The 24018-nt window shown below is 38.4% G+C and overlaps 1 protein-coding gene and 1 long non-coding RNA gene across 4 annotated transcripts in view; one reads left to right on the forward strand and one right to left on the reverse strand.

Annotated features, from left to right (window-relative positions):
* LOC124901389 (uncharacterized) overlaps positions 1 to 24018 on the forward strand; it is a 96627-nt gene that overhangs the window by 61644 nt on the left and 10965 nt on the right. The gene's annotated exons all lie outside the window — the stretch shown is intronic.
* The window catches only part of FAM184A (family with sequence similarity 184 member A), a 189366-nt gene that overhangs the window by 36796 nt on the left and 128552 nt on the right, over positions 1 to 24018 (reverse strand). For all 3 annotated transcript variants that reach the window (NM_001288576.2, NM_001100411.3, NM_024581.6), the window contains exons 4-9: positions 23420 to 23601; positions 20189 to 20386; positions 14751 to 14873; positions 9889 to 10050; positions 6943 to 7064; positions 6341 to 6491 (exon numbers count right to left, since the gene is read on the reverse strand). In NM_001288576.2, the coding sequence (NP_001275505.1) occupies positions 6341 to 6491; positions 6943 to 7064; positions 9889 to 10050; positions 14751 to 14873; positions 20189 to 20386; positions 23420 to 23601 (938 nt within the window). The remainder of the gene's footprint in view (positions 1 to 6340; positions 6492 to 6942; positions 7065 to 9888; positions 10051 to 14750; positions 14874 to 20188; positions 20387 to 23419; positions 23602 to 24018) is intronic.

Here is a 24018-nt window from a genome sequence, read left to right on the forward strand (position 1 = left end):
CAGCCATCTCTTTCCCCCAGGGCTCTGAATGTACATTCAACATAGGTTCTTGCTTTCCTGACGGCTAGAGAGAGGACTCAGAGCCTTCAGGGTCAGCTTCACTATCTGCTGTCACTGCTTAGGGAACCTGTCAAGGAATCTGACTGAGTTATCTTAGGAAGAGATTTTATTTTTGAGACAGAATCTCACTCCATCACCCAAGCTGGAGTGCAGTGGTGTGATCTCGGCTCACTGCAGCCTCTGTCTCCCGTGTTTAAGCCATTCTCATGCCTCAGCCTCCCAAGCAGCTGGAATTACACGTGTGCATGACCATGCCTGGCTAATTTTTTTTTTTTTTTGTACTTTTTGTAGAGACAGGGTTTCTCTATGTTGGCCGGGCTGGTCTTGAATTCCTGGCCTCAAGTGATCCACCCACCTCGGCCTCCCACATGCTGGGATTACAGGCGTGAGCCACCAGACCCAAACAGGAAGAGATCATTATTCTAGGTATCTTGCTATTCCCTCTACCTCAGAATCTACTTCCATCTATTCTTCCATTGAAAGTTGAAAGGTAGTGGTATGGCTGGGCGTGGTGGCTCACACCTGTAATCCCAGCACTTTGGGAGGCAGAGGTGGACAGATCACTTGAAGTTGGGAGTTCAAGAACAGCCTGGCCAACGTGGCAAAACCCATCTCTACTAAAAATATAAAAATAAGCCAGAGGTTGCAGTGAGCCAAGATCACCTCAAAGCACTCCAGCCTGGGTGACTAAGTGAAACTCCATCTCAAAAAAAAAAAAAAAAAATTAAAAGAGACAGAATACATTTCTTGCTAACATAATGAAAATTCAAAGCTAAGAAAAAGAATAGCAGCCGGGCGCAGTGGCTCACACTTGTAATCCCAGGACTTTGGGAGGCCGAAGCAGGTGGATCACCTGAGGTCAGGAGTTCAAGACCAGCCTGGCCAACATGGTGAAACCTCGTCTCTACTAAAAATACGAAAATTAACCAGGCAGTGACATGCACTTGTAGTCCCAGCTACTTGGGAGGCTGAGGCTGGAGAATCACTTCAACCCAGGAGGTGGAGGTTGCAGTGATACAGTGGGCTGAGATTGCACAACTGCACTTCAGCCTGGGTGACACAGCAAGACTCCATCTCAGGGGAAAAAAAAAACAAAAACAACAGCAGAATGAGTACTGAGCTCTAATGCCAAATTTAGTCAATATTTTCATGATCTAGATAGTCTGCATCAGTGCTCTTTAACTGAAACATGAATGTGAGCCACATGTACAATTTAAAGTTTTTCAGTAACCATATTTAAAAGAGCAAAAAGAAAGGATACTTACTATCATATTGGATAGCATTGGTCTAAAAATCAGAAAGCAGTTTACAACAAACCTTACTGAAACTGGCTTTTCAACTGCTCTTGATAAAGAGCATTTATTTTAATGCTGTTTCTTAGTCTAGTCATTGCCCTTTCCTACTGAGTATGAAAAATTCTAAAATACTCTATGATTGTAAAATCAATACATCTAAGAGAAAACTTACCATCTCATCTCCCCAGTCACCCACACCCCACCCCAAATAAATAGCTCATCTTGACTTCCTTGTCTCAGATGATGATTTCCTTTCTGTCTGGCTCAAACCCAAGTCAACTTTAATATTTTCTTCTCTTCTACCAAAGCAGATGATTGATCCTTTTACAGTTTCTCTTGCACTTGCAGTGAGATAAACTTAATCCAGGTCCTAATTGGGCAGAATTATTTGTATTTCATGTATCTGAAAACGTCTTTGGTCTCTGTGCCTCATTCTGTTCACTCTATTCAACAACTGCCAAGTGCTTACTATGTGCCAGGAACAGTTTTAGGTGCTGGGGATACCCTAGTGAATACCACAAAGGTCCAGGTCTCGTGGAACTTACATGTGAATAGGTGAGAGAATCAATATATACTGTGTAGAAGTAAATGTTCTGAAGGAATACAAAGGAGAACAAAGCATAGGAGGCTAGTGAATGATGATGGTGCTATTTTAGAGAAAGTAAGTAAAGAAAGCTCTTTTTGTGGAGTTAAGATTTGAGTAGATAACTGATTAAGTGAAGGGAAAAGCTGTGCAGATCTCTAGAAAGTGGGTTCCATGTGGAGGGACTGGTAGGTGCAAAGTCCCCAAGATGGGTTCAGCTTGTTGTGTGTGTTCCAAGAACTGCAAGGATCCAGCATGGCTGTAAAAAAGAAAGGGAGAGAGTGACAGGAGATGATGTTGGCAATGCAGCCAGAGACCAGATCATGAGCGTACTAGAGGCTATGGCATGAGTGTGGACTGTATTCTAATTGTGGTAGGTAGTCACCAGGCATCTTGAAACAGGATAGTAATATAATCCAACTTAATATTTTAAGAGCATCACTTTGGCTGGTTAGAAAATAATCTGTAGGTGGTAAAGAGTAGAAACAAGGTAACAGTTGCAGTACAGGAAAGAACTACAAGTGTCCTGGAATCAGATGGTGGTAGAGGTAGTAGGGAGAAGCAGGATCTATTTTGAAGGTAGAGCAGTGGGGACTGCTGATGAACTAGTTGTCTGGTGTACAAGACAGGAGTCCAAGATGGCTGAGCAGTAAACAGTGAACGGACGCTAGTTCTAGAAAGAGCAGTTTGGCTGAGGTTGAGGGGAGCTGGCGGTACATGGTATCCATTCAAGAGTTCAGTTCCAAACACTTTAATTTAGATATTTAAATTGAAATGTCTCTATTTCATTCTTACTTCAATATAAAAGTCATATTAAGCTTCCTAAAATAAAATTTTCAACATGTTATTCTCTTTTCCACAAACCTTTGACAGAATCTCATAGTTTACCAAGTAATCTTTAAACTCCTAAGCTTGGAAGTCAAGGTTTTCCACAATAACCTCTACCCAAACTGCCCCCAACACTGTTTTTCTTATTACTGTATTCCTCGTAATGCCTGGGAAATATACACATATGTTTAATAAAATGTTTACTAAGTGAATAAAAACCTTTATATTTTTGTCACTCCTCTGTGTTCATCCTTTGCCCTATTCATGAGTCCCACTAAAGCTGGCCTCCTCAATGAAACCTTCCCCAAGCACACTGGCTATATTATACTGTTTCTTGACTTTATACTCCTGACCAGTTGTATGCTGGTAAATGTTTAACAGCTCTCTGAAAAGCAATGACCCGATTTGTAGCATTTGCTGATATCTGTGATATAAATGCAACTACCACAGGAGACTGCAAGTCATCAACATGATGTCCCCCAATGTGGTGCTGGTAAGAGAGGTGCACAATTAGCTATGATGAGCTGGTAGGAGCCAGCACCAACACATCATTACTCAGTACAAACTGCTTGGATCATTTTTAAAGTCACCTACTGCACAGTGACTTTTAAGTACCTATATATAAATCTTCCTATTAGATTGTAAATTTGTGAAGTATAAACATTGTGTCAGATACAGGGCTATAATCAGCTAAATGACTTTGTCTCAAAGTTCACATCTACAAAATGGAGAGTCAGACTCAAACTGTAAAATTCCATAGTTCTGTGTCTCAATGGTCTGTGCATCTCCCTTAATTTTTCAGTCCAATGCTTTAAGGCTGAATAAGTAAATCATTATATTGGACCCAAAATAAAATCTGCCTTAAAAAAGATGAAAGAAAGGAACAAGTGATGGCATTTTAAAATCACAAATAGAAAATATGATCACAGAAAACTCTATATAATCACTTTTCCTTGGATAGAGTTGAAGAATAAGAATGTAGTTTTTTCGCTTTAAAGAATTCAAATGTATACACTGATCAACCCAAGAAGCATAATTAGCCTTGGACTAAAGTGTAATCATTGGACAGAAAGAGAGAACACAATGAAATATTAAAAGGAAACTAAAAGATACAAAATTGACTGAATCGTAGCACAGAATGAAAATAATAGCTTTTGGAAAATTCCATGAAGTGAAAAACATCTGATTCAAGTAAAATGAAAATTTTATGCTTTTAATGCTCATTTTTAGATAGGCAGCCCATGATGGCCGGCTTAAATCTAATTTAACTCTCAAGAGATTCATAGGAAAGACAAGTTATTTCACTCCTTTCCTCTAAATAGGATGAAATTCAGGTATGTTAAGGTATAAAAATCTCATGTTTTTCACTCAGAAATAGTTAAAATATGTGAAAACGCACATCCTCTGATACTTTTTCATAGCATATGCCTCTGCCTAAGCCCTAGCCACTCCAATTCTATTCCTGTCTTACTCCTTTAATATCATGAATCCCAAGCCATGTCTGTTTCCCTTATGTGCTGAATGCTGCTGGCCTTGCGGGGCTAAAGGAAATGAGTGAGACCAGTAGGAGTGAAGGCAGTGAAAGGGTCCTAGGGGTAGGGCTGGGGGTGGAGGTTATGGGGAACAGGGCTTAGCAGCAGGGGCAGGCAAGTAGAAGGTGGTAGAGGGGCTTTAGAGCACAGGCTCTAGAAATCCATCCAAAGGAGTCGAGACAACAAGATCCAGAGCCAAGAAGGAAGGTTTTGTCCATAACGACGTTCCATTTAAAAAGAACCACTGGTCCTACTATAATTTTTTGTCATCTAGTATGCCTAGAAAGGATGAAACCTTGATAGCATCATACCCATTTTTACTTTAATGGGGCATCTTTTTGTGCACTTGTTTTCTTAATTTTCTTCAGGCATAGACAATCCTGGAGTGCAACAGCTACTTGCCAGTTTCTCTATGGCAATGCGTGTGCCTAAACAATTCAGAAGTGTGGAAAAAGGAAGATATTATAATCTTGGAAATGGTCTGATGGCATGGAGCATCACAGAATAGTTTTACCTTTGGAACCAATTAATTCCCGGTTATCTTGATATTTATGGTTAATCTGCTTTGAAAATTGATTTAGAAATTCTGTAAAGCTGGCAAAAACTGGAGCTAATATGTAATACATTATTTTATGATATACAGAACCACAAGATGCAAAGCATTAGGTCCTCTCAGGAAAGAACTGCAGAATAGACACCCAAAGAAAAAAAGAAGAAAACAAAATTCAGAGATGTATGGATGGCATCTGACAAACTAATACAAGAGATTAAAGGAATAACAAATAAAACAATTTGATAGAAAATCGGCAGGAGAAGCGGTGGGCCACTTTACAGTGCAAACCCAGCCGAAAACTGTCTATGTTCAATACTTTCTGGTTGAAAAAATATATCTCTATTAAATAATCAAAGTAATTTAATCTTTCTACGGGCAGAATCTTACTACTCGTCTAACAATAGGGGATCAGTAGCACCCTACCCAGTAAAATCTGTCCTTGTGGGTCCCTAAAAGGAATGTAAAATAAGTCTATCATAAGCAATGCTAATGTGGTGTCCAAATTCTAGTAAAAGTTGTTCCCTTGTTCTTTTTTTTGTCTGAGTTTCAAGTGACTGACAAAAGCTCATATATACACAAATGTAAACATACATATGTATTCTCTCTTTTCAGAGTAACATTATAATTATGAGATACTAGACACAAATTGGCAGGCCCCAAGTATTCTTGAAAGACACTGCATGTATGTAGCTATGTAACAAATGATCTTACAAAAAGTCTATCCTATTTATTTTGAAATTCATCATGCTCACAAATAGAAAGATAATGGTAGGTTTCTGGAACTACATTATTGAGCTGCTTCTTGTCTAAGTTCTGCACTTGCTTATCAACTGGTGATTCATGCAGTTAATCCTATTTAATGACTTGCTCTGCGGAAGAATGTTAAGAATTAATAAATTTAAAAGTTGTGTAAATGAGTGAAAATGTGCAAATTCTTTTAATTACAGTTACAAATGTTATGGAAATAAGCAAGCATAACATAAGAACACAGATTTAGGAATACTACCACCTTTTGTTTATGTTATACTCTAAGGGGCTTAAAGCATTTTGAAGGATAGCAGGCAACGCTCCTTTGGTGAGAAAAGTAAGCTGTTCATTTTTGGTAAGTGGTTTTAGGTAATCATGATACATATAATAAATTCTACCCTCTGTTGCCCAAACAGTATCTAAGGACATGAAAAAAGATTTTATGCTTTCAAAACATAGGTAACTTTCCCATTTAAAATCTTAAATATATTCAGGTCAAATATTAAACTAAAAAATCATAATAAATTCTTCTCGGTATTCAGACTGCATATATAACAATGATTTAGCAAAATGTTTTATAAGTTTATAAATACATCTTCCTGGTTTTATGTATTTTTAGAAGTTTTAAGTTTGTCCCATGAAAAATAACAAAATTCAGTGAATTAACAGAGTTTTACAATATTTGCCTAGCCAGAGAATGTCAAGGGAGATGAAACTTCATCATGTACACATTATTAATTACCTGGTTTAAGAGATCTTCTACTTTCTTCTGCCATGAATCTCTTGCTGCATTTTTCTCTCGATCTTTCAACTGCAAAAGTTGAGACATTGCTGACTTCTTATCCTCTTCATGTTGAAGCCTTAACTCTTCACGAAGTTTAGAACACTCTTGTCTAAAATAAAACAACTGCATTTACTTTGTAAAGAGAATTATTCCTTTCACTGACTGTAATAGAGTCTACAGGTTTTTTAAGCGCTTAATTAATCCTCTTCAAAAGTCTATGATGCTGAGGAAAGCAGATTATTTACTTAAGGGCTGTAAAGTAAATTGGTAACTTACCCCAATATCACTCATTTATCAATTTATTAACAGCAGAATAGGTACCAGAACAAATAAGTCTTCTGACTTTAGGTTAGTTTACTGCCTATTTTATATTCAAGGAAATGCAAAAAGTAAATCTGAATTCAAACGGAAAATAAATCCAATTTCTCTGTCTCTAATCACAGGAAATTTTAATTTAAAATACTGCTACTATGTCTTTAACAATAGGATAATGTGAGTCATACAAGAGAAAAACTTTCTTGCATGTCTTTATTGATAAGATTACAGAATAAAAAATGTACCTAAGATTTTCAGTCCACTTAATTTCTAAGTCATGGGCCATTTTGTCCACTTTGAGCTTCTCTTCTTCTTTCATGGCAGCAATTGTTTCTTCATGCTGTTGCCTTTCTTGTTCTAGCTCACCCTGAAGAATAAAAACTTTTCAATGAAGACTAAACTTCAAAAACAAACACTGCTGGTTATTTTAAATAAGTAAAGTGCTTGTATTAAAACTTTTAATTTTAAATTCTTACAGCCCAATACTTGATAATGCTATCTGTGAAAATGACTCAAGATTTTCTGAAAATAAAATATGTAAAACAAATTTTATATTTTACATGTTCTTGTCTAAACTGTATTTTATTAAGGCTTATATCACAAATTATTTAAATAGTTTAAAGTCAGCATTAATCATCTTAATTACACTTTCCATATATTAGGTATCTAACGGTAGACTGATTATCCAATTACCTTTACCTGTACACCCATTACATAGACAGATATGTTATTCAAATTCACTTATATTCAAAAGTATGTTACTTGCTCAAAACTTAAGTATATAGCTGTACCTGACACCATAAAAATAATTATGCAGAATTTAGGCTACTGTTTTTATTATGTAACTGCAAACTAGTGGTCCGTGTGTTCATTGTTATGGCAATATGCTGCAATATATACACAATTCCTGTAGATTAGCATGAATCAAGTGGCTCTGTGGAGCCTGGGGATAGAGGTGACCTGTTTGGACAACAGTGGCAACCATCGGCCCCTGCCAGCAGAGCAGCTGCTCTTGGGACACAAGGCAGAAGAGGAGCAGATGATGGTCTATCTTCCTGTTATCACAATGACCCTTTCTAGATCATCCACTTGCTAATGACATGTGGTGTGGCAGTTTTTGAAGGGTATACCCAGATTAATGAGAAAAAAACAAGCCAATGTTGAAATTGCCATTCTACATTGTTGGCCTGGCTACTAAGCAGTAAGTATTGAGAATTGAAGGCAGCCATCTTAGCCAACTGTTCTTTTCACTAAGTGTTTTGCCTCTAGTAATTCTTTAATTTTCCGCCAAAGGCAACATTAAACGGAGTAGACTGCTTAAAATGTATTTCTTTTCCTCAATGCAAAGTACATCATTAGACATTATTGGGGTAGGTTAAAGGAAAAGAGGTACCAAAAAAACACTTGGTCTTAAGGAGCTTACGCAGAGTTGTGGTAAACCAGGATGCAGCATCTATATTTTGTCAGTTAAAATTCTCCAGCAGAACAGAAAATGAAGAATTGATAGAGTTTTGCTTAAAGTGTTTATTATTTTCTACTACTGGACAGAAGTACGATGTAAATATGAAAAAAGACCTGAAAGAAATGAAACTGAATCAGTAAGCCCAATACTCAGTGCCAGGACAGCCGGGGGAAAGGCAGCCAGGATAAAATACCTTAAAGTCAGGAACTGGGTGCGCACCAAGGCAAGACAGAACTTCCATGATACCATATAAACACAACCTATATTCAATTAACATTCATTAGAAATATTTCAACTGTCTACTTTTAAATATATTTGTATTACCTTAAAATATCATTTTCCTTTTATTTGTTGACAATGGAAAAAACACCTCTTAATATAGTTTGGTCATCGAGTTCAGCTTCACACCACAGAATGCTACCATCGAGATTATAGTCAATATATTTGGCATCACAGAAACTAAATATATCAAGTTGTATATTATACTAGCTCTAAATTCCAATTATTTCTTGTTATATATTAACACTGTCATATCACACAGCCACCGGAGAAAGGTAAACATAAGGAAATGATTCGAGGAAAATGAAGTAATTTATTGTCACATAATTCAAAATGGAAGGTAAATATTCAATGCACACAGAATATATCATAGATAAAATATAAATAGAATTATGTATGCCCCACACACAAGGTAAATTCACTAAAGTGTCCTTGTTTATATGCTTTTGAAATGTCACCAATTCTGAACTAAAAAAGAAAATCTGAAATAATATTAGTAAAAGGCAGTATTTACTGAGTGTTTACTATTTTGCTAAGCACTGTGCTATAAATGGTTCATCTCATTTAATTATTACAACAGTGCTGTGAAGAGTGTTATTACCCCCCACCTCTCCTTCATTGTGCAGATGTGGAAGGTGAGGCTTTGCACAAAGCTACACACTATGTGGTGGATTCAGAATTTACATACAACCAACCTGACTTCAGAGCCTATACTCTAAACCATCTCTCTGAAGGAAAAGATTAAGAACTTCCTGGGTACTATACACCCAGTTTTATGGATTCTTTTTCTCTACTATCTAAGACAATCTAAATCTTTGCTGTGCTTCATAAGAGTGGAAGAAAAAAGGCAGAGTCTTTCTGAAATCTGCAGACACAGAGAAGCACTTAGTTGCTGTATATGAGAGTTCTACCTCTTACTAGTAAAAGAATTGCACGTTCCAATTGTTATCGGTTGAACTGGGTCCCCAAAAAGATATACCGAAGTCCTACCCTCCCAATACCTCAGAATGTGACTTTATTTGGAAATACAGTCAGTACAGATGTATTAAGTTAAGATGATGTCAAACTGGAGTAGAATGAGCCCTTGTTCCAATATGCCTGGTATCCTTTTAAGATGTGAAGATAGGCAGAGATGGAAATTATGTTGCCGAATGCCAAGAATGCCTGGTGCTACCAGAAGCTGGAAAATACAAGGACGGATCTTCCCTTAGAGTTTAGGAAGGAACATAGCTGTGCCAACACCTTGATGTTGGACTTCTAGCCTCCAGAGCTATGAGAGAATAAATTTCTGTTGTTTTAAATTCCCCAGTTTGTAGTACTTTGTTATGGTAGTTCTAAGAACTAATATACTAATTATATACAATGTGCTGTTTAAATAGCTCTAGGTCAAATGGCTAAATTCTATTTTTATTTTGCCGCTGTTTAGATTGCAGTAGAATTATGAAATTACCTCCACATTTAATAGAGCATCCTTGGTCTCCTTTAGGCTGTCTTTAGTCAAGTCAAGCTCATTCTGAAGCCTTTCCTGGGAGTCCTGAAGACTAGCAATAAGTCCTTCTGCAGAGCCAAGACCTTGTTCACTTTTCCTTACCATATCTTGGAGGTGGCCAATCTGTAAGTAAATAGAGTACTTTTAATATATTTCATTGTAATAGAATAGCAAAATAGTCTTACAATTTCTTCCTAAAGTTTTTTATTTAGTTGTAATTTTACTGAATGGATGATTTCCTGATTAATTTGGAAAAAGCACTCAAATAACCATGACAGCTTTCTTCTGCTGTGTTTTGAAAAGACTTTCACATTTAAGATCTTCTTTTTTCATGACAACCATGTAAAGGAATAGATATACCTTTGTTTAACAAAGAGAATTCCTAGTTCCACCATATAATAAAATACCTATAAGAAGCTGAAGCAAGATAAAGATTATATAAAAGAGTAAAACAAAATTTTAGATAAAAATATCTTAAAAACCATCCTTTAAAATTTAATCACATATTTCATTTGAGTCCATATCTCCTGCTATTTGCAAAGGGGATAAATTTAGGTCAATATTGATAAGCTGGTAAATGTATTATAAACTAGAGTAAGTTATGATTCCTGTGTTTCCATACAAAATTTCTCATTAAATCTTTAAGAGTTGAATTTATACACTCGAAATTAGAAGCTAATAGATAATTGCTGATTAAGCATATCCCTACCATAAAGTTATGAATACTAAAATACATACATGAAATATTTCAAATTATTTAGGACAATGCTATAAAGTAAAAACCGCATTCTTATAAAATGGCCAAGCCTATGAAATTTCTACAAAAGTTGAAATTGGTAATTTAAAAATAATACCTATTTTTCCTTGTAAATACAGACATTACAAAAAAAAAATACAAAAATTCTCCTTCAATCCTTCTCTGACCCACAATTCCCTCCCCAAGTGCACGGCCTTCCTGTCCCCTCTCTATGCAGGTATATGCTCTGCAATACTGGTGGTGGTAGTATTTTATCTTGGTGGTGTCTCTAAAGGAATGCTAATCTCATAAGATAATTAGGGGAGCTACACATCTTTTCTGTGCTCTGAAATATTTTCACAGCAAAAGAATTACCTGTTTTTTAAAAGTTTGGTAAAATTCTTCCATTAAATAAATTATAAAGAATAGTATTCTAGGGCTGGGCGCGGTGGCTTATGCCTGTAATCCCAGCACTTTGGGAGGCCGAGGCAGGCTGATCACCTGAGGTCAGGAGTTCAAGACCAGCCTGGCCAACATGGCGAAACCCCGTCTCTACTAAAAATACAAAAAGTAGCCGGGTGTGGTGGCGCGCGACTGTAATCCCAGCTACCTGAGAGGCTGAGGCAGGGGAATTGCTTGCACCTGGGAGGCAGAGGTTGCAGTGAGCGAGATTGTGCCACTGCATTCCAGCCTGGCAACAGAGCAAGACTCTGCCTCAAGAAAAAAAAAAAACAGTATTCTAGTAACAATGTAAAGAATTCAAAGAGAAGGTCTATTAAGGCAATTACAAATCTAGAGATAGAATATTTAAATAGGCAAAAACTTCAAACTTCTGCAAAGTTAAATGTAATAAAATATAAAAAGCAAATAAGTGTTGAACATAACTGATCAGTTTGTTTTCTTAAATACAATAAAAATGGATACATGGGGAAAACACCTATTGTCTCCCAATAACAAAATCTCCTTATGGCATTTGGGGCATCTACTCGCCTTCTCTATCGGTCCATGTGGTCTTAGTAAGCGCTCAACTTAAACTCCAGAATGAAGTGCTTCATTGAAACGTAAACCAATAAGGTCATCTCATTTTGTTTGTATGTGGATTGGTTCAGGGGCAGGCACATGGTTTAAGCTTATCTAGTCACAGTGATCTCAGGACTTTAAAAGGAGCTCCCAGAAAAGGTTTTTTGCCAGCTCCACGTATACCTCAGGGAATATGTGATTGAAGCATGAAGTCAACACAAGAACAAACCCAATTTAAGAGAAAAAGAAAAGCTGGGTTCCATTGTCACAATTTCAGTTCTGAATCTAGTCTTGCCTGATGCTAACATTATCCTTGGACTTTACAGTCACATGAGTCAATAAATTTTTTTTTCTTTAGGCTAGTTTGAGGTAGGATTTCTGTCATTTGCAATAGAAATAAATACTCAGATTCTCCATATTAATGTACAAACTGAGGGAATACAGTAAGTAGAAACCTCCTCCCTGAAATATCCGTCTACCTCTATTTGTTCTTCTCTAATCCACTCTCCTTGCAACACTACAGTGAGTTTTTTATAAATTACAAATATGGACACGAGCATAAGCCCCATCCACTGCACAAGCATCCACATATTTATACTTATCATCTTTCAACTGTTTTTCACTGCCCTTAGGATAACTTTCAAAATCTTTCATGGGGCTTACAAGACCTCCACAACATAGCCCCTGCTGAAATCTCCAACCTCAGCATGGCATCCCTTCTTCTTGGTCTTTATATACTAATTGAGAGAAAGAGTAGGGTTAAGAATTGAGTTCTGAAAGCACACTACCTGAAATGGAATTCTGGCTTTACCTACTTATTATGTGCTGACTTGGGCAAGTTATTTTAACTTTTCTATGCTTTAGTAACTGGTACCTACTGCACAGGGTTGCTGTGAGGATTAAAGGAGAGAACAGTATAAAGAGGCTATATAAAACAAAGTCTGGGACTCAGTAAGCACTAAATAAATATTATTATAGTTGCTATCACACTCCGTTTTTTCTGGTGATATGGTTTGGCTGTGTCCCCACCCAAATCTCATCTTGAATTGTAACTCCCACAATTCCCATATGTTGAGGGAGGAACCCAGTAGGAGGTGACTGAATTATGGGGTGGGTCTTTCCTGCGCTGTTCTTGTGATAGTGAATGAGTCTCATGAGATCTGATGGTTTTTAAAAAATGGGAGTTTCTCTGCACAAGCTCTCTCTTTGCCTGCTGCCATCCATGTAAGATGTGACTTGCTCCTCCTTGTCTTCCACCATGTTCGTGAGGCCTCCCTAGCCATGTGGAACTGTGAGTCCAATTAAACCTCTTTCTTTTGTAAATTAACCAGTCTTAGGTATGTCTTTATCAGCAGCATGAAACAGACTAATACCACTGGTATTCTTACAATTCCTAGAAATTTCTCATGCCTCAGAGCGTTTGCATAAGCTTTCCTAAATTTATTATTTTGACGAGCCCTTGTTAATTACTTACCACCCTTTGTAATATGCCTCAGACTTGTGTTTACTTGTTTTTGTGTCTGTCTGTCCATAGTAGTAGGGACCATGTCTGACTGACTTATCACTGAAACCGCAGTGTGTAACAGTGCTTTGGTACCTAATAGGCATTCCATATTTATTAAATAAATGAATGAGTCACTTACAGAAAAACTTCGTATATACTTACTAGCAATTAAGAATAAAATCTCTTTAACATCTCAGAATGAAAGTATTTAACTCCTAGAAGGACCCTAAATGCCTTCACTTTCTTGACCTTGTATTGTACCAAGGCAGCTGCTAGGCCATGTGTGCCTCTAAGCAGGAAAAAGGCAATACCCCTCAGTGTGGAAGCAGCCCCAGAACATGGAAAGAGAAGCAAACAAAACTTGTGTGAACTGGGAGAAGACTCCCTTTCTTCCAGGCAGCAGACTTCAGAGAAAATTTAAGTTTTTCTATACTTCTTCTACTATAAACAGTGCTGAAATTTTGTCAACAATCCGTAGTTATCTGCTTAGGTTAAATACACAAAAAAATGAAACTGTTGAGTTAAAGGACATGCCTGTCTTTAAGGCTTTCATATGTGCTGATAAATCCCTTTCGAGGAAAATTATACAATTTTGAATCCCCATCAGCAGTTTCTGAGTGCTTATTTCTTTATCGTTATTAACACTGCATGGTCTCAATTTTTTTATCATTGTTAATTTTATGGTGATGGAATGGCATCTCATTGATTTCATTTCCAGTTCTTAAATTATACAAATTATTTTTTCCTGCTTATTTTTAGCTTGTAAAAAGATAATCTGGGTGTCTGTATTTTTCTTATTGTTTTGTAAATACTCTTAAAAGTGTTAAAGACATGAACTCTTCATTGGTCAATTTGTCAGTCTCTTCATCTCTCCCAGTTTTTCCTCTTTTTAAATTTTGCTTATGGTGTGTTTTGATATAAAGAAGTTTTAGCTTTAACTGTACAAATATTCCATGTTTCAATTCACAACTTTGATATCATGTTCAAACAGCCTTCTCTGTCCTCAGGTTTGTCATTTTTGTTTTCATATTTTATTTATATTCATATCCATGATTTTCATATTATATTCCAATCCTTAACCCACCTGGAACTTTGCCGATATGAGATTGAAGAAGAGCTCTAACTTCCCTCTTTTCTCCTCTTTCATTTATATCTAGTCTTAAAAGGGCAATGTCACAGACTGTAATTCAAATTAAGCCTACTGATTCTAGCTACCATCCTCAGTTTCTGTTGAAATTGTAGAAAAAGAGGCAGTATAGAGAATAATAAGCTATTTTTTGGCAAAAGGGTAGAGAACTCTCTCTTGTTCTTTTCCTATGTGGTGATATTCTGTTTTGCTTCTCCCCACAACAGCACCTTAGTTTAATGTTTTTGACAGTAAATTTTACCTGGTGGAACATAATCAGAGTGTCATGAAAAATTCAACACCAATTAAAGTTTTTAAATTATTTTTATTCTAGATATGTTACCTTTACTGAGACTTACCTACCTATACAATGTCACCAGAATAAGTTATTATTATTAAAATCTATAACATAGGCAACAGGTCTAAAGAATTCTTGCCTCTTGATTGGCTGTATTCAACTTGTCTTCCAGTACTTCCTTTAGGTTTTCTAGCTCTTGTTGAAGCTGATTTTTATCCTCTTCCAGGTTTAGTTTATCTTTGTTATGTTGTTCTTCCAAATCCTTAGAAAAAGAAATTTTTTAAAAATTAACAAAATTGCAAGTATTATATACTTTGAAGACTCTAAGAAAAAGACTATTCTGTTTTGTATTTTGAAACTTTGCTCTTCAAATTAGCCTTACCCTTAATTAACAATATCTGAATTAACAGTGACACCCATAGTGGCTTAGATTCTATCATTCTGACTCATTTATAATGTAGTTATACTTTTTTTAAATGGTGAGAACATGTGACTGGACTAGATCAAGCTGAAGTCCAAAAACAGAAAAGTGTGAGATAAAAAATTCTAATTACCTCTTGAATTCAAAATTCTTTTTTTCCCTCAAATTCTTTTATGTTTGCATAAAAAATGAAATCCAGTGACACTTCTACAAATCAGTGGTCTAGCACTGGAACACAGTAGAGAATGAGCAAGTATAAAATGAAGGCAAATTAAAGAGCAAAACTGGTAAAACTGATAATTACTGAAGATCACTTACTATTTGCCAGGCATGCTACTTAACACTTGGGTAACAAAGGCAATAAGATATGGAGCCTGCCCTTAATAAGCTCATGGTATCAAACAATTAAAGAATATTAACTAAATTAGACATGCATAGGGAGTACGGGAGTATATGGAAGGGGAACTAATAACGTCTAGCTTGGCAGGGAAACCTTTAGAGAGAAAGCAATTCCTAAGCATGGTTTGAAGGAAGAAAAGGTGATGGAGCAGGAGGGGAACATCACATTCTAGGCACGGGAAAAAGCATGTGCTAAGGCTTTTTCACACCACAAAGGGACAAAGGAGCACAGTATGTTACAAGCAGTTCAATATTTCTGTAGTGTAAAATGAGAAGAAGAATCAATAGGGTTCTGTGTCAGAGGACCCCAAGACAAACCCAAGTTTGATGATTTACATTCACGGGTATAGTCACACTCATGGCTGTGATTATGGCACAGGACTCAAAGCACACACCACAAAGGAAAAAGACACATGGGGTGAAGTCTGCCAGAAACCAGACACAGGTACAAAGTTTCCAAAAGCCCTCTCACACAGGACACACTTAATACCTCCAGACACCTGTAACAACTTGTGTGAAATGTTGTCCTTATACAAGACAGGCTGAATACCTCCAGCAACCTGTGACAATTTGTGTGAAATGTTGTCTACTAGGAAAGCTCATGAGAGACTTAGTACCCAGGTTTTTTATCGGCAACTGATCATACAGGTACCATCTTCCTGTCACATGTCAAAATTCCAGATTCCCAGAAGGAAAGCAGGTGTTCAGCATAAACCACATTGGCTGTGTGGTTAGGCCACAGCTTAGGCCAGTGAGTCATTCTTATTAGGGAATGGGGGGATCTCCAGAAATCCAAGTTCCCAGATGCCAGCCAAGGGCCAACTTGCCTTTCTAAGGATGGTAGCCTCAAGCCTCCTATGTTAACAGTTTTCTGCATGGGTTCTCTGTATATTCACTCTCAGTTGTGGTGGGTCAACTACAGTTATGGACAGTACAATCCTTTTTGATAACTCAATAATAAGACAATAGAAGTCGTCTTCAGCTAAATGTTCCTTAAGAGAGAATCTGACACTAGAGGAAGACTATTTTGGAAGGAGGCTGGTTTCAGCTCAGGTTCAGACATGAGGTAGACAGGCAAGAGTGGAAGAAAGAGCAAGTGATACACAAGTTACTCTGATAAAAAAAAAAAGAAGGGTAGAAATAATGCTGCAATAGGGTGGTGAATATATTCACCTATAGGAAATTTCATGTCATCTGTCTTACGGCAACCATGTTTTAAAGAAAGACTTTAAGAAATTTAATTAGCTTAAGGCAGGTGCTAGAAAATTAAAATTTAATCAGGTGAAGGGATAATGAGGAGTAAAGTAATGAGGTAAAAATGACGTTGATGAAAGATGCCTCAATTCTAGCACTTATAACTTAATAGAGAGGAATAAAGGCTAAAGGCAGGACATATGCAATTTAAATATTCCAATAAGAAAGAAAGTGGCTACAGTGAAAATGAATGTAGAAATGAAAAGTAATACCAAAAGATAGCTAGGAAACAGAGTACAGAAGAAGCAGTTACCATGAAACACTTTTCTATAAAACTCTGAACACGTGATACAGGCACCCAGAACTGCTAAGCATGCACATGCCTCACTAACTAATGCTGTGCAAACTGGTTCTGGAATAGTGACCTGGCACAGAGAATACTACAGTCAGAGTCTTGAGAAATAACATGTCATTAATTTTTGTCTCTGGCTACATAAACATATAGTAGTAAGTTTAGTAAGAAATAACATTCTAATGGGAAGTTTTATTTGAATTTTAAATTAAGTTTAGGTCTTAAATATTTTTCCCAACTAGTCATGTCACAAAAGGAAAGCACACTGAGGCAGATCTCAATTCATATCCTATCTCTTCTTAATAGCGCTGTGGCTCTCACGAAATCATCGAGGTTTATTAAACCTATTTTACCATCTATATAATAAAAATGACTTTAATCTCCAAGTCGTAAGTATTAAGGTATATATAAAAAAGCTCTTTGTAAACTGTAAAGTACCATTAGTGAAATATATAACAACCATCATTACTAAATGCCTACATGATGGTATTTAGATGTCTGGGATTTGACAGATCTGGAACCTGAGTTCAAGGCCTGACTGAGTCTTACTAGTTGCATGTGCTTGAGCACATCCCCTCTTCAGTAAAATGTGTAGAGAAATCAAACCAAAGTGTCATAAGAATTAGATTTTTTAAAAGATGCAAAACATTACTGTAGTATGTGGTACATAGTAAGAAGTACTAATAACTAATTTTTATCATCATGTGCTAGAACATGGCTTGGTACTCAACACTTTATCTGACTTAATCCTCGAAGGAACATTTTAAGTTGAATCATATCTTTTGTCAGATGAGGAGCCTAAGGCATAGCTTTTGAGGCCCAAAGTAATACAGTTAATAGGCAAAGAGCTCAGTGTAAGGCCAAGGTCTGTCAGATACTTTGCTTTTTCTACTCTGCAATTCTGTCTGTCATATATTACTATTAGCAAGCTGAATACTTAATTGTGGAAGAAACAAACAAAACAAAACATAAATCATTTTCTCAAAGAAGAAAACTATCTACGAGAGAATACATACTTTCAACTAGTTGAGGCTTCCTGAAGAGCACACCTATTAAATTGTCTCATGAAGAGACAGCTCAAGAACAAAAACAGTGTTTCTATTATGGCTTATATGAAGTAGCAATGTCTTAAATAAATTCAATAAGCTATATCTCATTTCAAGAACTACCAGGTATGTTACTCTTTGAACCATGACTTCAAGAATGATTACAAGACAGAAACCATCAAAATGAAGGAAATCAGCTGAGTGCGGTAGCTCACACCTATAATTCCAGCATTTTGGGAGGCTGAGGTGGGAGGATCACTTGAGGTCAGGAGTTCGAGACCAGCCTGGCCAACATGGTGAAACCCTGTCTGTACTAAAAATACAAAAATTAGCCAGGTGTGGTGGCATGCGCCTGTAGTCCCAGCTACTCAGGAGGCTGAGGCAGGAGACTTGTTTGAACCTGGGAGGTGGAGGTTGCAATGAGCCGAGATTGTGCCACTGCACTGCACTCCAGACTGAGAGACAGAGCGAGACTCTGTCTCAAAAAAAAAAAAGAAAAAGAAAAGAAAAGCAGCAGCAGCAGCAAATCATTGCTCTACAATATAGGTCACACTGGACTACTGAGAGGTGACAGTGTGCTGGCAGTCCTCAGAGCCCTCGCTTGCTCTCGGCGCCTCCTCTGCCTGGGTTCCCACTCTGGTGGCACTTGAGGAGCCCTTCGGCCTGCCGCTGCACTGCGGGAGCCCCTTTCTGGACTGGCCAAGGCCAGAGCCGGCTCCCTCAACTTGCAGGGAGGTGTGGAGGGAGAGGCACAAGCAGGAATTGAGGCTGCACGCAGCACTTGCGGGCCAGCTGGAGTTCTGGGTGGGTGTGGGCTTGGCGGGCCCCACACTCAGAGCGGCCGGCCGGCCCTGCGGGCCCCGGGCAGTGAGGGGCTTAGCACCCGGGCCAGCGGCTGCGGAGGGTGTACTGGGTCCCCCAGCAGTGCCAGCCCACCGATGCTGCACTCGATTTTTTGCCGGGCCTTAGCTGCCTTCCCACGGGGCAGGCCTCGGGACTGCAGCCCGCCATGCCTGAGCCTTCCCCCGCCTCCGTGGGTTCCTGTGCAACCCGAGCCTCCCCCGACGAATGCTGCCCCCTGCTCCACGGCGCCCAGTCCCATCGACCGCCCAAGGGCTGAGGAGTGCGAGCACATGGCACGGAACTGGCAGGCAGCTCCACCTGCAGCCCCGGTGCGGGATCCACTAGGTGAAGCCAGCTGGGCTCCTGAGTCTGGTGGGGACCTGGAGAGTCTTTATGTCTAGCTCAGGGATTGTAAATACACCAATCAGCACCCTGTGTTTAGCTCAAGGTTTGTGAGTGCACCAATCGACACTCTGTATCTAGCTGCTCTGGTGGGGCCTTGGAGAACCTTTATGTCTAGCTCAGGGATTGTAAATACACCAATCGACACTCTGTATCTAGCTCAAGGTTTGTAAACACACCAATCAGCACCCTGTGTTTAGCTCAAGGTTTGTGAGTGCACCAATTGACACTCTGTATCTAGCTGCTCTGGTGGGGCCTTGGAGAACCTGTGTGTGAAACTCTGTAACTAACTAATCTGATGGGAATGTGGAGAACCTTTGTATCTAGCTCAGGGATTGTAAATGCACCAATCAGCGCCCTGACAAAACAGGCCACTCAGCTCTACCAATCAGCAGGATGTGGGTGGGGCCAGATAAGAGAATAAAAGCAGGCTGCCCGAGCCAGCATTGACAACCCGCTCGGGTCCCCTTCCACACTGTGGAAGCTTTGTTCTTTCACTCTTTGCAATAAATCTTGCTACTGCTCACTCTTTGGGTCCACGCTGCTTTTATGAGCTGTAACACTCACCACGAAGATCTGCAGCTTCACTCCTGAGCCTAGCAAGACCACGAGCCCACTGGGAGGAACGAACAACTCCAGACGCGCTACCTTAAGAGCTGTAACACTCACCGCGAAGGTCTGCAGCTTCACTCCTGAGCCAGTGAGACCACCAACCCACCAGAAGGAAGAAACTCCGAACACATCTGAACATCAGAAGGGGCAGACTCCAGACGCGCCACCTTAAGAGCTGTAACACTCACCGCGGGGGTCCGTGGGTTTATTCTTGAAGTCAGTGAGACCAAGAACCCACCAATTCCGGACACACTACTACAGAAATATCATCAATTTACAATGCAATGATAAATTAAATTTTTACTCACCATTTGCAGTTTTTTCTTATCCCTAATTGCATTACTGTGGACAGCTTCAATTGCCATATGGTGCTTCCAAGCTAATTCTTCCAAAGTCTTAGAATGGGCCTCGTTTAATTGAGTCACCTCCTCTTCCAATCTACTTTGCAGGTTTTTAAGTTCCCTTTCATAATATTCTTGCTGAGTTCTCTTTGCTTCATTTACTTTCTAAAATTAAAACAAAGATCAATAATCGGCACCTGCTTTTTTCATTACTGTTATTAGGGTAATTTGAATACCCTATAAATATGGAAGCTTGAATAAACTGAGTGCTACGGGATCTAGACTATGAAACATGACAACAAATCATTAGTGTTCTCAGAAAGTGAAAGGGGAGCCTATACAAAATCAAAAATGTTAAAGCAAGAGATAAAATAGACTATTATCATATTAGACCAAATGTGAGTTAATACATCTGCAAGCTTAAGAGTAAAGGGCTGGGCCGGGTGCAGTGGCTCACGCCTGTAATCCCAGCACTTTGGGAGGCCGAGGCGGGTGGATCACGAGGTCAGGAGATCAAGACCATCCTGGCTAACACGGTGAAACCCCGTCTCTACTAAAAATACAAAAAATTAGCTGGGCGCGGTGGCGGGTGCCTGTAGTCCCAGCTACTTGGGAGGCTGAGGCAGGAGAATGGCGTGAAACTGGGAGACAGAGTTTGCAGTGAGCTGAGATTGCACCACTGCACTCCAGCCTGGGCGACAGAGCGAGACTCCATCTCAAAAAAAAAAAAAAGAGTAAAGGGCTTCCTTTTATGTCAAAATAGTACACAAAATGGCTTACCAGTTAACCCACTCAAAGGATATCACTCAATACAATTTTGAATGCCAATTACGTACCTTTTGGGCATTCACAGTTCTAATAATGAAAAAAATACAAAGACTATGGCAATATAGTTTTATAAGTTCTATGAAAAAGGGATGTTGACACAGGTTTGGATTTTTTTGTCTCCACCAGATCTCATGTTGAAATGTGACCTCCAATGTTGGAGATGTGACTAGTGGGAGGTGTCTGGATCATGGGGGTAAATCCCATATGAATAGCTTGGTGCTGTCCTTGCAATAATGAGTGAGCTCTCACTCTATGAGTTTATGTGAGATCTGGTTGTTTAAAGGAGCCTGGCACCTCCTTCCTCTCTCTCGCTCTCTCTCTTGTCCTGTGACATGCTGGCTCCCCTCCTCCTTCCAGCATGATTGTAAGCTTCCTGAGGCCTCACCAGAAACAGATGCCAGTACTACATTTCATGCACGGACCGCAGAACTGCAAGCCAAATATCCGTCTTCTCTTCATAAATTACCCAGTCTCAGGTATTCCCTTACAGCAATGCAAAATGAACTAATGCAGATGTATATCCCGTGTTATGGGAGTATATTAGAAGGATGCCTAACTTGGACGCGGTGAGAAAGTGCATGTGCGTGTGCATGTGTGTGTGTGTTTCAGAGAGAGAGAGACAAAGACAGAGACAGAGAGATATCAGGGAAGGCTTTTCAGAAGAGAAAGCATCTGAGCTGGTGATGACATTCTCTCATTTAATTCTTACAACAACCCCAGAGGAAATTAATGATAAGAAAATGTCAAGCCTAGGTCTGTTGTCAAAAGCCTACATTCATAACTGTTTCTATTGTTGTGCAGCATTGGAAAGATGGCAAGTAGCTAACCAGATGGGAAAGTTTAGGGAGACAGAAAGTCTGTGCAGCTAAGCAGTCTGGATAGAATACAGGATACAAGGTGATAAAGTGGTGAAAGACGGGGCTCAGAAGTAGGCAGGAATAAAATAATGAGATGGGGTCTTTTACACCAAGAACTTTGAATTTTCTTCTGAAGGGACTGAGAAATCACTGAAGTTTTAAGCAAATTATATACTTTTAAAAACAATCATCTTGGAAGCAGGCTGGTGAGCCAACTGAAATCAGAGATTGCTGCTAGGCAGTTGTGACTATAATCCAGGCAAGCAATGACACGTGCCTAAACCTCGGATCTATAAATGGGTATGAGCAGGGGAGGATGGAATAAAAATATATTAAGGAAGTAGAACCAACAGGACTCTGTAACAGATAAAGGGGCTGAGAAAACAGTAATCAAGAATGACTTTCAGCTTTTTGATTTAGCAACTAGATAGACAGTGGTGCTATTGGTTGAAATAAGGAGTAAAAGAAACTTAGTACTTTTGAGAGGAGAAAGTTCTGGGCATGGTAACTTGATGTTTGTGAAAAACATAAATGGAGATATCTAGTGGAAAGGATAAAAGACTTAAATTCAGAGAAAATGTCTGGCCTGGACCTAAAGATTTAGAAGCTATCACTGAATAAGTGACAGTTGATGTTACTGGAATGAATGAGTGCGTAGAATTAGATGAAAATACTGGAAACATCAATGGTAAGGGAACAGATGGAGGAGGGAAGTTCACAAAGAAGACTGTAAGGCCAAGGAGGTACGAGAAAAATGTGAAAGAATGTGAAATACCAAGAGATGAGAGATTGTAAATCAGTGGGTAGTAAGTACCACAGTAAGATATGATCCACCAAGTCCACCAATCAGGATGGCACTGAGGGCTGAGGCAAAAGCAAATTCTGTGGACTGATGGTCAGAGAGGACTGCACCAGGTTAAGGAATGAATGGAAGTAAGTAAAGAGCAAAGAGAATAGATATTTTCAAAATACTTAGACGTTGAGGGAAAGAGAAAGAAAAGTATGTCCAAAACTCCCACTTGGTATTGTGGGCATCTGAAAAACTGGAATACATATTCAGCAATTACTCTATAAATGATGTTTCACTTGTTAAACTAGAAATTCAATTATCTTGGTATACATTTTCAGAGCTTGAAGCTTGTCATATTTTCAGTTCTACAGAAATTTCCTACATGGATATGCAGTAATATATTTCATTAATAGAAAACGAATAATGATTATAAGTATACACTCCACTGAAATAAGAGTTTATTCAATTTCTGGCTTGAAATAGGTTGAAATGTCTTAAAGTTTTTATATTATATAGATTGTTACCCACATATTTTGAACATACATACAGCATAGGATAGTCTAGCTATATACCCATTTCCTCAAAATTAGAACCAAAAATAACTACTAAAGTAGGAAATGTATTGTTACTGGGGAGTAGCAAGAAATACTCCAAATACTTCAAATGTGAAAAAGAGAAAAACGGAACTCTTTCGGGGGGAATGGAGTGTCCATTACTTTTTACCTTCTCCAGTTCTAGAATCTGTTGCTTCTGCTCTTCATCCAGACTTTGGGTTTTGCTTCGCAAAAAAGCTCTTTCCTCTTCAAGTTGAGATAATCTCTCATTGACTCTCGATTTTTCTGATTCTAAATCTTTAATTGTAACTTCCTGGGTCATTTGAGTTGCTTGAAGCATTCCAATATGACCTATCCCCCAAAAAGAAAATCCCTTCAATTTAAAAATCAGTTGTACTATGAGATAAACAGTTTACATTTAATAACACAACTGTACTTTATACTTAAGTAAAATAAATGGTCTACATGTACAAATTTTCCTTTTGTTTCTTCACTACATAAAATGGAAATATTTACATGAAAATACTTCTTAGCGCACTAGAATAATTTAAATTAAAACGTCATTTTCACATGATTAATGTTGCTTCCTGCACCTCGTACCGTTTTACTGGTTTTTTTTGTTTTTGTTTTTGTTTTTTTAAGATTGCAAGCTAAACAGGTTGAAGTAGGCGCAACTCCTCAGTAGGCTTCATAAGAAAGTCTCCTGGGAATAAAAGAAGGACGGAGAGGATGCACTGACTGACACTGTGGCGCCAAAATGAGTGATTC

The sequence above is a fragment of the Homo sapiens genome, chromosome 6 (genome assembly GCF_000001405.40).
Source record: "Homo sapiens chromosome 6, GRCh38.p14 Primary Assembly".
Classification (NCBI taxonomy): domain Eukaryota; kingdom Metazoa; phylum Chordata; class Mammalia; order Primates; family Hominidae; genus Homo; species Homo sapiens.